The following is a 14,626-nucleotide window of genomic DNA, read 5'->3' as shown; positions in this document are numbered from 1 at the left end:
CAGTTGCATAGGATGGACAGCTAAACTTCTAAGACATGTTATTTTATTTTTTGAGATAGAGTCTTACTCTGTTACCCAGGTTGCAGTGCAGTGGCATGATCATAGTTCACTGTAAGCCTCAGCCTCCTGGGCTCAAGTGATCCTCCTGCCTCAGTCTCCCAAAGTGCCGGGATTACCAGCCTGAACCACTGCACCTGGCCGAGATATTTTAAAGTCCTCCAACATCTGTAATTGTTTCTTTTTATTTTATTATACATAATAAAATATATACATATTTTATTAAAATTATATGATAATAAATATATACAATTATATATTATGTATAATAAAATATAGTATATATTTTATTATATATGTTTATTTAAAAATATATATGTATTCTTTAGAGATGAGGTCTCACTATGTTGCCCAGGCTGGTCTCGAACTCCTGAGCTCAAGTGATACTCCCATCTTGGCCTCCCAGAGTGCTGGGATTATATGTGTGAGCCACCGTGCCTGGCCCTGTTTCTTTTTCAAACTTAATTTATTTTAGAGACATGGTCTTACTCTGTCATCCAGGCTGGAGTGCAGTGGTGTAATCATGGTTCACTGCAGCCTGAACCTTCCCAGGCTCAGGTGATCCTCCCACCTCAGCCTCCTGAGTAGCTGGGACTACTAGCATACACCACCATTCCTGGCTAAATTTTGTATTTTTTGTACAGACAGAGTTACATCATGTTGCCCAGGCTACTCTCCAACTTGCGAGCTCAAGTGATCCGCCCACTCCGCCTCCCAAAGTGTCGATATTACAGGCATGAGCCACTGTGCCCAGCCTGTAATTGTTTGCTGTGGTGACCAAGTCACACTGGTCCGGAGAAGACAGGTCATAGTGACCTCTTTGATAGCTTTCTGCCAAGTTGCTTATCCAAAGGGAGCAAAATCACAATGGTCCCAGTCATTTTTTTCTCCTCCCCTTTCCTCTTTTCTTTATAAATGTTGATTTTACTTTTATTTGATGAACACAATCTAATGCCAGTTCCTCTTCTATATTGATGGAGAATGAGCATGCAGACAAGTGTCTCTGTATTATTCCTCGACTGATTTCTTTCAGAGGCTATGTCCATAAAAATTAATCCATCTGACACCCATCATTGGAGCCAACAGAATCCTGCACCTAACAGGCCCCTGGTGCAGACCTGGATCCTTAGAGCCACTGGTTCTTGTTCCCTCAGTTCTTGTTCTCATGAGCAGAAATTGAGCTGTTTTGCTTTTATATACTAAGTATGGTCATTGGGCAAGTCCTTCCTTTCTCTATCTCCCTCTCTCTCTTTCTTGCATCATTGTTTTCTGCCATCAGTGGCATCAGTGTGGGTTTCTGGTTTTGATGTTATGAAGTGAAGTTCTGGGGACAATCTCTGTTGGGTGGTGTTTGACAAGGTGTTTGGTGATACATGACAGCTAATCTAGTCTGTGAGTCTTTTTTGATTGTCTATTCATTGTCCTGAGGATAATGGTATTTCTTGATATTTGAGACTGCAGCAATCAGAAGTTGCTCATATCTTGTCTTTCCAATGTTTGGTAACAATTTTTTGGGCCCGATAGCTGTCAATATCTGCAAGAGCGGCATCTCTATTATAAGGACGATCTTACTACTCAATGCCCCACCCACTCCCGCCACCTAACTTCATTCCATAGGAGCTCTTGGCTTTAACAAATTACTATACCTGAAAGAAATCTTAGTACATAAAGAAAACTAAGTCTGTGGCAGGTAAGGAGCAGTTTTCTTTGATTCGTATACTCAGGTTTCTAGTAGCTAAAAACCTCTAACCAGCTGAAACACATGTCCTTTAAGGATTAAGTTTAAATCACACTACAGAAAGGGGAAAAGAGATTTATATGATCACAGATAAGCAATGGAGTCAGCAACATAAGCACTTCTCACAACTATACAAATCAAAAATTTTTTTTGCTTAAGACAGAGTCGCGCTCTGTCACCAAGGCTGGAATGCAGTGGCACAATCTTGGCTCACTGCAGCCTTGGCCTCCCGGGTTCAAGTGATTCTTGTGCGTCAGCCTCCTGAGTAGCTGGGATTACAGGCGTGTGACACCATGCCTGGCTAATTTTTGTATTTTTAGTAGAGATGGGGTTTGGCCATGTTGGCCAGGCTGGCCTCGAACTCCTGAACTCAAGTGATCTGCCCACCTTGGCCTCCCAAAGTGCTAGGATTACAGGCGTAAGCCACTGCGCCTGGCCACAAATCAAATTTAATAATCTCCAGAACATCAAGGAAGTTCAGCTCTTAATGAAAATGGATGAAAAGAAATGATTTACTCACTTTTATACGCTCGGGAAAGAGAATGCCCTGCCAGACTCAAAAGGGTATCACAGAATCACTCAGATTTTCAGCACTGAGGGTTTTCCAAGGATCTAATGATGTTCCTTTTTTCAGTTTGTTTCGCTCACTGATAAGCCTTGTTAATAAATACCATTGCATCTGTTTTCACTTTAAACGATGTTACTTAACACAATTATTTGCTTTCGAATGCCCCCTAGATTGGTGGAAAGAAATTTTCTGATTTATAAATATATTTTCTTATGAAACCAATTGGCATACTCTTCCAGTGGAGTGAATAGATAAATTAAGTCTCTAAAACTTTAAAGAGATTACTGCCCCAATTATCTTAAGGACAGTAATAATTACGTATATAAAATTAAAATATGGAAATTAAGCAGGGTGTGGTGGCTCACACCTGTAATCTTAGCATTTTAGGCAGCTGAGGAGAGAAGAAGGATTGAAGTCAGGAGTTTGATACCAGCCTGGGAAATATGGTGAGACCCCTGTCTCTACAAATTTAAAAATGAGCTGATTTTAAAAAACTAGCCAGCACAGTGGCTCACATTGGTAGTCCCAGCTGCTTGGGAGGCTGAGGCAGGAGGATCACTTGAGCCCAGGAGATCCAGGCTGCAGTGAACTATAATTGTACCACTGCACTCCAGCCTGGGTGACAGAGTAAGACCTCAACTCAAAATAAAAGAAAATGAAGAATAATTTCTTGACTTTTTTTTTTCCCTGCAATGCCAGGCTGGTTGACTCACACCTGTAATCCCAGAAAATCAGGAGGCTGATGTGGGAGGATTGCTTTAGGCAAGGAGTTGGAGGCCAGCCTGGGCAACAGGGCAAGATGCCATCTCTAAGAAGTTAAAAGGCGGGCTGAGCTGGGAGGACTGCCTGAGCCCAGAGTTCCAGGTTGGTCAGCTGTGGTTGCACCAGTGCACTCTCACCTGGATGACACAGCAAGACACTGTCTATTACATTTTTTAATTCTACTTATGCTTTAAATGTGATGTTTCATTAGGGAAAAATTTTCTTGTTGAATTTGTAACATGAAAAAATAATAGATTTAGCTGTAGATTAAATTAATGGTATTGGCTGGGCATGGTGGCTCACGCCTGTAATCGTAGCACTTTGGGAGGCCGAGGCAGGTGGATCATCTGAGGTCAGGAGTTCGAGACCAGCCTGGCCAACATGGTGAAACCCCATCTCTACTAAAATACAAAAATAAGCCAGGCATGGTGGCTGGCACCTGTAATCCCAGCTACTTGGGAGGCTGAGGCTTGAGAATCACTTGATCCCTGGAGGTGGAGGTTGCAGTGAGCAGAGATGATGCCACTTCACTTTATGGGTGGCACAGTAAGTGAGAGTGTGTCTCTAAAAAAAAAAAAAAAAAGAAAGAAAAGAGAAGAACTTTTTCATGTGAAGAAAATGAGTGCTTTCAACTTAGCATGCCCAGAGCTAGGCATTAAAATGAGACAGCAACCACATCCTACTTCCTGCTTTCTAAAATCTTTTAAGTTAAAAAAAATTTTTTTTTTATTGTATTGAAATGGAGTCTCACTCTGTTGCCCAGGCTGGAGTGCAGTGGCAGGATCTTGGCCCACTGCAACCTCCTCCAGTCAGGTTCAAGCAATTCTCCTGCCACAGCCTCCCGAGTTGCTGGGACTGAAGTCGCGAACCACGATGCTCCCCTATTTTTTTTTTTTTTTTTTTTTTTGTATTTTTAGTAGAGACAGGGTTTCGTCATGTTGGCCAGGCTGGTCTCAAACTCCTAACCTAAGGTGATCTGCCCAACTTGGCCCACCAAAATGTGAATTATGACCACCACCGGCCACTTCCCCACTTTTGAGCTATGTATTCATCCACTGAAACTGCTTGCTATTGCCACAGTTAGCTATAAAGTAACCTAATCACATGCACTGGACACCATCTCTCATTCCCTGTAGCTGAACAATGTATAGCTAATCCCTAATCAATGTTATTTCTGTAAACCACTGGGAGTTCCTGACAAGCAACTTTCTACCAGCCAACTCCCTGTCTCCCTTTTTGGTCTTTACAAACCTGCTTGTAACAAAGGCCAAACAGAACCCATATGCAAGATTGCTTGGCTCTGAGCCTTCTGGGCAACTATCCTCACACTGGCTCAAACAAACTCTTTAAATCATATTTTGTGCTTAAGCCCCTTCCTTCTAGGTCGATGTTTTTGGCCCTGGGAGCAGGATTCAGAGCAACTTATCTCTGACCATCTGACCGTCCTCTCAAAGGCCTCCAGGGTGGCTACATAGTAGGTAGAATTTGATTGGTGAGATCAGTTTGCAGTCCGGGAAGAGACAGTCTCTGGTGTGTGTCTTTGAAGAAGTGCTTTTTCTTCAGAGAGAGAGAGAGAGAGAGGGCAGGTTGGTTTTTGTGCCTCACAGGGTGTGTATCACACAATAGAGTCATACATATTCAGCAGGTTTGGGGAAACGCCATTTCTGAGGGGTATTGAGCTCATGTGCAACGGGTAAACATATATGTAACATGCACCCCATATTCACATTGGGAAGGGATTTTAGCATTAAAATGAGGTGGAAATTGGCTGTTTATGTCAAAAGGTGAACTACTGGACACGAAGTCGGTTTGTGTGCAGTCCCTGTAACATGGCTGAAACTGGCTTGATATCTGCAGTTGCTTATCGGGAAAGAATGGAAGGCCACTCCTTTGTCCCATCAGAGCTCTAGTGATCTGGGTTGTAAATCCAGTTGAGAAGGGCTGGGAAGATTTTGACAATTTGCTTGCTAGCCCCTATTGTTAAGGAGTTTAGCAACAGTGTGTTTTTTTCTGTAGCCATAGGAATTCAGGACGTTGCCATGCCAGATGAGCCCTGAACCCTGGACCTGTAGCTAACTTTTGTTTCCTTAAACTTACAGTCTGTCTTAGTCTATAAGGGGGCATGTATTTTCATCTCTCAGATCACACCACATTCCTCCTGGACTGGGTGCCTGGCCAGCTCTGAAGCCCTCAAGTTTGGACTCTGAGAGAAAGAGTTGGGCAGTAGTAAGTGGGGAATCCTCCTGAAATCTGGACCTTCCCACTCTTTGGTTGAAGGCCTGGACTTTGCTTGAGTGTCCTTTCCAGCTCTCCCTTTCTAGAATGGAGGTTTTCTGTCTTTACCCTGTGGGTAAGAGGTTTGAGTCTCGGGGGAAATAACTGCCTTTTCCACCTCTGCATCAGGACAGAAAGTTTGGGTCACAGTCAGGCAAAGAGCTCTCCAGAGAGCTTCTGCCTTTCCTGCCTCTGTTCCTCAGCAGGAAGTTCTGGGTCAAGGTATTGGCAGGTAGGCCCTGGTGGTGTCATTTTATGTAGCATGTTGTTTTGAACATTCGGGCTTAGCTTTTCATTTGTGACTAATTCCTGTTAGTTCTTAACTGGAAAGCGCATGGAGGTGCATTCCCCTGCCCTGAAGAAAAGAAGTGATCTGCTTCCGCCAATCCATTCAGGTGCTCCAAGTGATCGGGGATGTTGCAGAGGTGTCGGGGTCATTACTCACCATGTGAAGGTGGCCTCATAGGACACTCCCCATCAGAAGAACATCTTTATGAACCCCCTTTCCTGCTCTTCTGGGAGGGTATATGTCGGACGGGTCCCTCATAGCACATGCACTCTGTGGCCACCTGGTGGTTAGAAACAGTGGGAACCACTGAGACAGCGATACACAACTCCGGTGTTATCTGTAGGAGTGACTTCATAAGCACCACACTGTGACCCAAAACACATCACAGGCCTTGGTCATCTGAAAAGCTCCTGAATTATGGGAAATCAAGCTTCAAAATTTAGCACACTGCGAAGAAACAACCACCTTTAGAAACATCAGCTGGGTTTATGTATAGCACTTATGAAGCGTCCTCTTGTAAATATCCAAGAAACTGGATCCACCTAACCAGGAAAACTGATAAGCAGAATGAAGAAAATGGGGATATTTTGAAATGCTTAAAATAATTTATTAGTGTGCACAATTGGAAAAATTTGGTTTTAGAACCAAATTAAATGGGAGACTTACTTCCAATAATACCTAGAAATTTCTAAAAGAACTGTGAAAATTGCCTCCAGTGAGGAAGTAAGCTGAAGGAGGTAAACTGACACGTTTTCTGAATTGAGAAATATTGAGGAGGCTTTGTCTCTTTCGCCTCCAACTGCTCCTTCTCCTCCTGCCCCTGCACCTGCATAGTCTCCCTTACCTGAGCCCTCCGGTTCTGCCTTGCCTCTTCTTCCATCACCATCACCTGAGGAAAGTCCCCAGGGCTCTGGCCCCTCCCCTGAAACTTCTGTTCTGACAGCCCCTTTCAAGGTAGGGGCTTCCACAGGAAGAAGGGAGCCTACCATTCTGTATACTGCTTCACCAAAATGTGAATTAAGAATATTATAAAAGACTTCCCTGGGCCGGGCGCAGTGGCTCATGCCTGTAATCCCAGCACATTGGGAGGACTAGACAGGTGGATCACGAGGTCGGGAGTTCGAGACCAGCCTGGACAACATGGTGAAACCCGGTCTATACTAAAAATACAAAAATTAGCCGGTCATGGTGATACATGACTGCAATCCCAGCAACTCGGGAGGCTGATGCAGGAGAATCGCTTTAACTCGGGAAGTGGAGTTTGCAGTGAGCCAAGATTGCACCATTGCACTCCAGCCTGGGTGACAGAGCAAGACTTTGTATCAAAATACATAAATAAATAAATAAAAAATAAAAAAGACTTCCCTGATCGAAATTTAAATCAATTTCCCCTTCTAATTCTAAAGCAGCCTCCAAGATCCTATAGGGTTTGGGAGAAAATTTGACTTAATTGTCCAAACTTTTAGCCCGAATATTCTGATTTTTATCAATTAATTCACATGTGGTGTAAGAAGGCAGGGCCACTAAATGGTTGAAAAGGGCGAATTGGAATAATTCTTTAGAGGATTTTTAAAAACAGACTAAAGCAGACAATGAAAGGGTCTGCATTTTGGCCAAATACTTCCATGTTGCCATTCCCCAGGTTGTTCCCAAAAATGTAGATTGGAGAATTCAGCAATGCACTTAAAAGGCCAAGCAAATCTGTCATTGGTATTTTAAGTGGTTAAGATTTATTGATTGATTGATTGAGACAGGGCCTCACTTTGTCACCCAGGCTGGAGTGCAGTGGCTCCATCATGGCCCACCACATCCTCAACCTCTCAGCTCTAGCAATCCTCCCACCTTAGCCTCCCGAGTAGCTGGGACCACAGGTGCATGCCACAATGCCCAGCTAATTCTTTGATTTTTTTTTTTTGTAGAGAGGACATCTTGCTGTGTTTTCCAGGCTGGACCTGAATGAACTTCTGGGCTCAATCAATCCTTCCCCTCAGCCTAACATTTACACTGGGAGCAGAGATGCATTTGGAGTAGGTGATGATTTTGGAATGCTTTAGAAGCAACATAGGTATCTGATTTCATCAGGTCAAGCCATCAAAAATGACCAATAAATCTCTGACCTCTTAGAAGCAATTTGAAGACCCAAATTTTGGCCATCATCAAAATTCGTGTTCATTCAAAATTAGACATTCTGGAGAGCAAGGACAATCATTTTGCTGATGCTGCAGCTAAGAATGCAGCTCTGAAGGTGACATCAGACACAGAACTCCTCGAAATGACCTTGCTGACTTATGACCCATTGAAGACTTCATTAGAAGTACAAGTGGGCTGGGCATGGTGGCTCATGCCTGTAATCCCAGCACTTTGGGAGGCCAAGGCTGGCGGATCACCTGAGGTCAGGAGTTTGAGCCCAGCCTGGCCAACATGGTGAAATCCTGTCTCTATTAAAAATACAAAAATTAGCTGGTGTGGTGACACATGTCTATAATCCCTGCTACTTGGGAGGCAGAGGCATGAGAATTGCTTGAACCTGGGAGGCGGAGGTTGCAGTGAGGTGAGATTGCACCACTGCACTCCAGCCTGGGTGACAGAGCAAGACTCTGGCAAAAAAAAAAAAAGAAGCATAAGTGGGAGCTCCCAAGCAGGAGAGGGATCTCTGGAAGGATAAAGGGAACAAATTTCTTCCAGAAACAGTCATATGGTATGGGCCCAATGATACACTCACTGATCTATCCCTTAGGCTTCAATTACCCTTTTACAGTACTTCATAAGCTGACTCATTGGAATTCAGACAAAATGTTGGCATGGGGAAAGCAATGGTATTGAAAATCATTGCCTATGATTGCAGAAAATGTTTAGTCTTGCCATACTGTCTGTCCCAAACATAATCCTGGAAAACCCCTTCATGGGTCACAGGGACATTTTGCCTTTGGGACCCTTCGAGACACGGCAGTTAGACTTTATCCAGCTGTCTCCATCTCAGGGTCACAGATACTTTCTGGTGCTAATTTGTATATGCTCACTGGGGTGAGCATTTCCATGCCGATGAGCCACAGCCCAAGTAGTAGGTAGATTGTGATTAGAAAAGGTAATTCCTCATGGGGGGTGCCATCTGAACTCCATAGAAACCGAGGAACACACTTCATTGGTCAGGTAATTTGATCCATTTGTAACATTTTTGCCTAAGTCTCAACATTTCCATTGTGCCTGTCACCCCTAATCCTCTGGGCCGATGGAATGCACTAATGATACAATAAAAACTCAATTGGCAAAGCTAACAGAAGTTTTTAACCTTTCTTGGACAAGGATCTCCCACTGGTTGTGGAAAACGTCCACACTCTCCCTCTTTGAAATAATAACAGGAAGACCCTTGCAGTGGTTAGATGAAGGCGCTTATGAATCTGCACTTCTTAAAGGTGACATTCTCCATTACTGCTAAGATCTCACAGAACTTACTAAGAACTCTACATTAACAAAGAATTCCATTCATAATGAACTCCTGGGAGATGAAAATATCAAAAATCTTGGCCTATAACCTGGAGATGTTGTTGTTTACTGGAAACAACATCAAATAAAATATTCTCCCCAAGACTGTTGGAAGGGACCACATCAGCTATTATTATTACTTTATATATTTTTTTGAGATGGGATCTCATTTTATTCCCCAAGCCAGAATGCAGTGGCACAATCATGACTCACTGTAGCCTTGAACCCCTGGGCTCAAGCCACCCTTCTGCCTCAACCTTCCAAATATTTGGGACCACAGGCATAGGCCACTGCACCTAACTGACAACAGGTATTACTGACCAATCTGTGCCAGTAAACATAAGGGCGTTGACACATGGATTCATGTTTCTCTTGTAAAAGGCAACCCTACCAGAGTGGACATCTATCAGTGGAGATTTTCACTTAGAGGTAACTCACAATCTTCCTGACAGAGATGGCAAGTAGCTGACATCTGGTGTAGTCCGCTTTCACCCAAGATACTGGCCTGTATAATCAGTTACAATTCCAGTGCTGACCGTGCCTGAGAGAGTTAGTCTCTTTTTTGCGGACTGGAATACATACACCATTAGGGCTCCTTTAAGTTGTAGGGGTTGTCTCTTGGTGGTTTTGGTAAAATCACCCTATATGCATATTCTCTTAAGATATGACACACTACTCCTCTTGCGTGTATGTGTATATACATATACATACATACATACATAGCAGAATACCTGTGATCAGATTTCTGTTTTACTGTCCCTAATTAATTTGATTACAGCAGGGAGGGATAATTCTCTGATTAGAATCTCACAAACCATTACCTCTGTGGGAAATTTGACAAGGTTCCAGGTTTGCCACTCAAAACCACAAACCACTTTTGACCATAATGACCCATTGGTACATCCTGTGCTAAATTTCACCTGTATTCCTCCTGATTGCACTCACGATGCAACTCAGGGTCATATCAAGCAAAACCTGTTTATCTAATCTGTCTGACTCACCCTAACCTTCCTGCTGCAAGTCTCAGTTTAACCCATCGTAATCGTATTGTCAAAATAATTGCCTGTAATCCCAGCACTTTGGGAGGCCAAGGCAGAAGGATCACTTGAGCACAGGGGTTTGAGACTAGCCTGGGCAAAATGGTGAAACACTGGCTCTATAAAATATATACAAATTAGCTGGGTGTGGTGGTGCCCACCTGTAGTCCCAGCTACTCAGGAGCATGAGGTGAGAGGATGACTTGAGCTAAGGAGTTCAAACCTGCAGCAAACCCTGATGACGCCACTGCACTCCAGCCTGGGCAACAGAATGAGACCCTGTCTCAAAAAATAAATAAATAAGCTGCGTGTGGTGGTGTGTGCCTGTAGTCCCAGCTGCTTGGGAGGATGAGCCATTGAGCCTTGGAGGTCAAGAGGTCAAGGCTGTACTGAGCTGTGATCTTGTCACTGAATTCCAGCCTGGGAGACAGAGTCCTTGTCTTAAAAAGTAATTATAATAAAAATAAAAAGTACAAAACCAACCAAACAAAAAATTGTTTCTTCACTCTGAAATAACAGTGGTTAACACCATGATGCCACTGGAAAGTTAAAAGAAAAACACTCCCTCCTGCTATCAAGATCCAACCTGCCCTCTTGCTCTAAATTTCTGACCCATGGTTTAAATGCCCAAAAGCTGATGTACTCAAGTTATAGCGCACCTACCTGTTTGGCGTTTATTTTTGTCTCTTGAAAAGATCACCATCCATGGCCCTATAAATGTCGAAGGGCATGGAATGATGAAGTGCAATGTCATTATTGTTATGTATCTCTCATCGTTTTACTTCTGGGAAAACTAATTTCATGGTATTCTGAAGAGTAGAGATGATTCAATAAGTGACAGCAGCTGTAGACTTAACTGAGGCCCCTCTCTCTCTCTCTCTTTTTTTTTTTTTTTTTGCCACTCTATGATGCCCTTTTTTTTTTTAAGACCGAGTCTCACTCTGTCACCCAGGCTGGAGTGCAGTGGTGTGATATTAGCTCAGTGCAGCCTCAAACTCCCAGGCTCAAGCAGTCCTCCTACCTCAGCCTCCTGAATAGCTGGGACTAAGGTGTGTGCCACTACACCTGGCTAACTTTGTATTTTTTGTAGAGATGGGGTTTCACCATGTTGCCCAGGCTGGTTTTGAACTCCTGGACTCAGGCAATCCACCTATCTTGGCCTCCTGAAGTGCTGGGACTACAGGTGTGAGCCACCATGCCTGGCTGTAATGCCCTTTCAATTGGACTTTTGGGCATTCTTAAAAATTCCTCAGTGAGGTGGCTTCTTTCCTCCCCTGTCCCCTGCTTGGGACAGGACTATCCGGGAATGAGCCTTTCTGGCAAAGAAGGACACCCTTGACTTAGCTTTTGATCATCGATGCTTTCAAGAAGAAAGATTAAAAAAACTTTTTATCTGAGGAATGTGAGCCCTTTCAAATGATCAGGCCCAGAGAGACGTTAAATCGAGACAGCAACCACTTTCCGCTCCTTCCTTTTGAGCTGCGCTGAGCTATGTATTCATCCGTTGAAACTGCTTGCTATTGCCTTAAGTAGCTGTAAATTAACCTAATAATGCCACACCAATCCCTATACCCCCATACCCTATAACTTAACAACATATAGCCAATCACCAAGCAATGTTATTTCTGTAAACCAATGAGAATTCCTGATAGGCACCTATCAGCCCACTGTCTGTCCCTGCTTTTGAACTTTAAAAACCTGCTTGTGGGCAGGGTGCGGTGGCTCACGCCTGTAATCCCAGCACTTTGGGAGGCCGAGGCAGGCGGATCATGAGGTCAGAAGATCCAGACCATCCTGGCTAACACGGTGAAACCCCGTCTCTATTAAAAAAATACAAAAAAATTAGCTGGGCGTGGTGGCGGGTGCCTGTAATCCCAGCTACTAGGGAGGCTGAGGCAGGAGAATGGCGAGAACCCGGGAGGCGGAGCAGAGTTCGCGCCACTGCACTCCAGCCTGGGCGACAGAGTGAGACTCCGTCTCAAAATAAATAAATAAATAAAAAATAAAAAATAAAAACCTGCTTGTGACAAAGGCCAAAGGGAGCTCAGATCCAAGCTTCCTTGGTGTGAGTCTTCCAGGCAGTTGTCTTCATGTTGACTCAAGTAAACTCTAAATTATATTTTGTGCTTCAGCCTCCTTCTTTTAGGTCAACATGTTCAACAACAGTAGAAGAAATACATAAGTTAATGTATATTCCTACAAAGGAATACACGTAGAACCAAATAACCATATGAATAACATGAAAAATTCATAGACATAGGACTGAGTGAAAGAAGTCAGACCTATGCCTCTGCTTCTGCAACCGCCTTTGCAAAAATTACAACTGGGACAATTACCACAGTGAAAGAGATCTGATCTAACTGATTCCATCTTGCTTCTAACGTACAAGCTGTCCTTGTTGATTGCTGGGCACAGGCCGAAATAACTTTGGGAGGAAATTAGTTTATGGTTTAGCTGTGAAACAAAGATGATAATATCCCTTTCCCAAAGCAAACCCCTTTCCTGCCTGGGGACTAGACTGCCTTTGCCGGACTAACAAATTAGCCACGAGATTAGAAATTATGGTTTAGGAGTCATGTAGCCTCTGGCTGCAAGATTCTAAACCTCCCCAAATTGTTCCTGGAGATCACATCGTTATTGGAAAACCTAAGATCAGTGCTTGAGATATTTTGCCGACCCTGCACTCAGTGGATCAGCTGGCACCAGCTAGACTGATAACCTGGCTCAGCTGGTCTTGTGGCCCCCAAGCAGGAACTGACCCAGCACAAGACCACAGCTTCAGCTCCCTGTGATTTCATCTCCGACCTGGCCAAGCAGAACTCTCAATTCACCGGCCCCCAATCACCAAATAAAGAGTGCAGCTCTTTATTGCAATTCCCCTGTGTCGAAAAATTGGCTCTGTCTAGGCAGCAGGCAGGGTGTACCTGTTGGGCAGTAACACTCCCCCCAAAACCCACTACAGACTGTGACTCAGCTTATATGAAAGTAAAGGGCAGGAAAAACTTGCCTGATAGATTTGCAGAGACGGGGGTGGAAACCATTAATAAGTCTGTGGAGTATTCTCAGAGTTTGGTGTTGTAGTCTACATATTAAAAGTAATCAGTTAAACACCTGAAATAAAACTTCTCCCAAATATTTTTGCCAAATTTGGATGACTGTGTTTCTGTCTTCGCAGCATATAAAGTGTTAACATGAGGTAAGCGCTAAGGTCTAGAGAAGGCAGTGAAGAGATGACAAACTCCAGCACCATGCCTGAATGTCCAGTGTGCTCTGCTGGGGCAGCACATTTTTGTACATTGCTGTATCTGAAAAAAACCCTACAAGATTCATGAAACTGGACGACCGTCTTTATAATACTCCTAGTGATAAAACAAGTAAGGATGGCTGGTTTGCAGTCATCTGAGCAGCCTCTCTAGTTTCATAGATACGGTTTCTCTCTGATATTGAACGACTTCCAAATGTCAAGCGAAATGCTACATCACAAGGATAACCGTATGTGAAAAGAACCGTTTTTCTTTGTAATCCTAAACTTTCTAGTCTGAGCTTTAAAAGCCATTATTTGAAGAAAAGCGCACAGGCTCCAGCTGGCCGCCAAAGGGGTCCTTTGCATCACAGGCTAAGAACCTACTTCTTTGGGAGAGACCAGGGACGGGGATGGGAGGGAAAGGAGGTAGAGTCAGGTGTCACTTCCTCCGCCCGCTCCCACAGCTGGTTGGTCGGCCGAGTGGCAGAGGGTGGGGCGGAAGAGCAGACGGGGACGGGAAAGGCGCTGTCGGTGACATCACAGATAGGGCGATTCCTATGCAGAGGAGGCAGCTCAGGGGCTGCTGCTTCACCACGAAAGATTTCTCGTGCTGTGGGAGCTAGTCCAGGACCTCCGGTTGGACGTGATAGTCCCAGCTGTGTGTCAGGGCTAGGAAGACTTGAGGCGGCATGGGGGCGGGGTGGGGGAATGCGCGGGCCAAGTGACCATGCGTGTAAGGGGTGAGGCGTATGGAGCTGTGGCAGGGCGGAGGGGCGTTCATTCATACTTACGTAACAGGAGAAAATACGGCCATGAAGTTGGTGTTTCTCGGGGGCGATTTCTCCATTGTACTCAGTATGTGCTGACTGACTCCTGTTACTTCCACATGTGGGGAAACTGGACTGTAATTTGTGGTGGTGGGGAATTGCGTTCGCGCTTTCTTCTGGAGGTTGTAGTGCAAAAAGCAGTTTGTCTACCAAGTGATACTTTCAGCTTTTACAAATGCTGAACAATATCCATGGTGTGTTTTCATGTCACCTCCTCTCCCTTCTTTGTTAGAAAAAAATGGAAGAGCACGTGGATGTTTTGAGATGAGAAGAGGTGCGTTCACCACCTTCACATCCGTGTAGGCTTGTTATTAAGGGAAAGGGAACAAAGGAGTCTCACTTATGTA

At 44.2% G+C, this 14,626-nt stretch overlaps 1 non-coding gene across 1 annotated transcript; it reads left to right on the top strand.

Annotated features, from left to right (window-relative positions):
- The first annotated feature begins 14,235 nt into the window (after positions 1 to 14,235).
- On the top strand, positions 14,236 to 14,397 carry RNVU1-26 (RNA, variant U1 small nuclear 26). Its single transcript, XR_007067112.1, has one exon. It is a non-coding gene; the product is annotated as a U1 spliceosomal RNA (small nuclear RNA).
- The last annotated feature ends 229 nt before the right edge of the window (positions 14,398 to 14,626 follow it).

The sequence above is a fragment of the Homo sapiens genome, chromosome 1 (assembly GCF_000001405.40).
Source record: "Homo sapiens chromosome 1, GRCh38.p14 Primary Assembly".
Taxonomy (NCBI): domain Eukaryota; kingdom Metazoa; phylum Chordata; class Mammalia; order Primates; family Hominidae; genus Homo; species Homo sapiens.
This window is presented reverse-complemented; position numbering and strand designations above follow the sequence as displayed.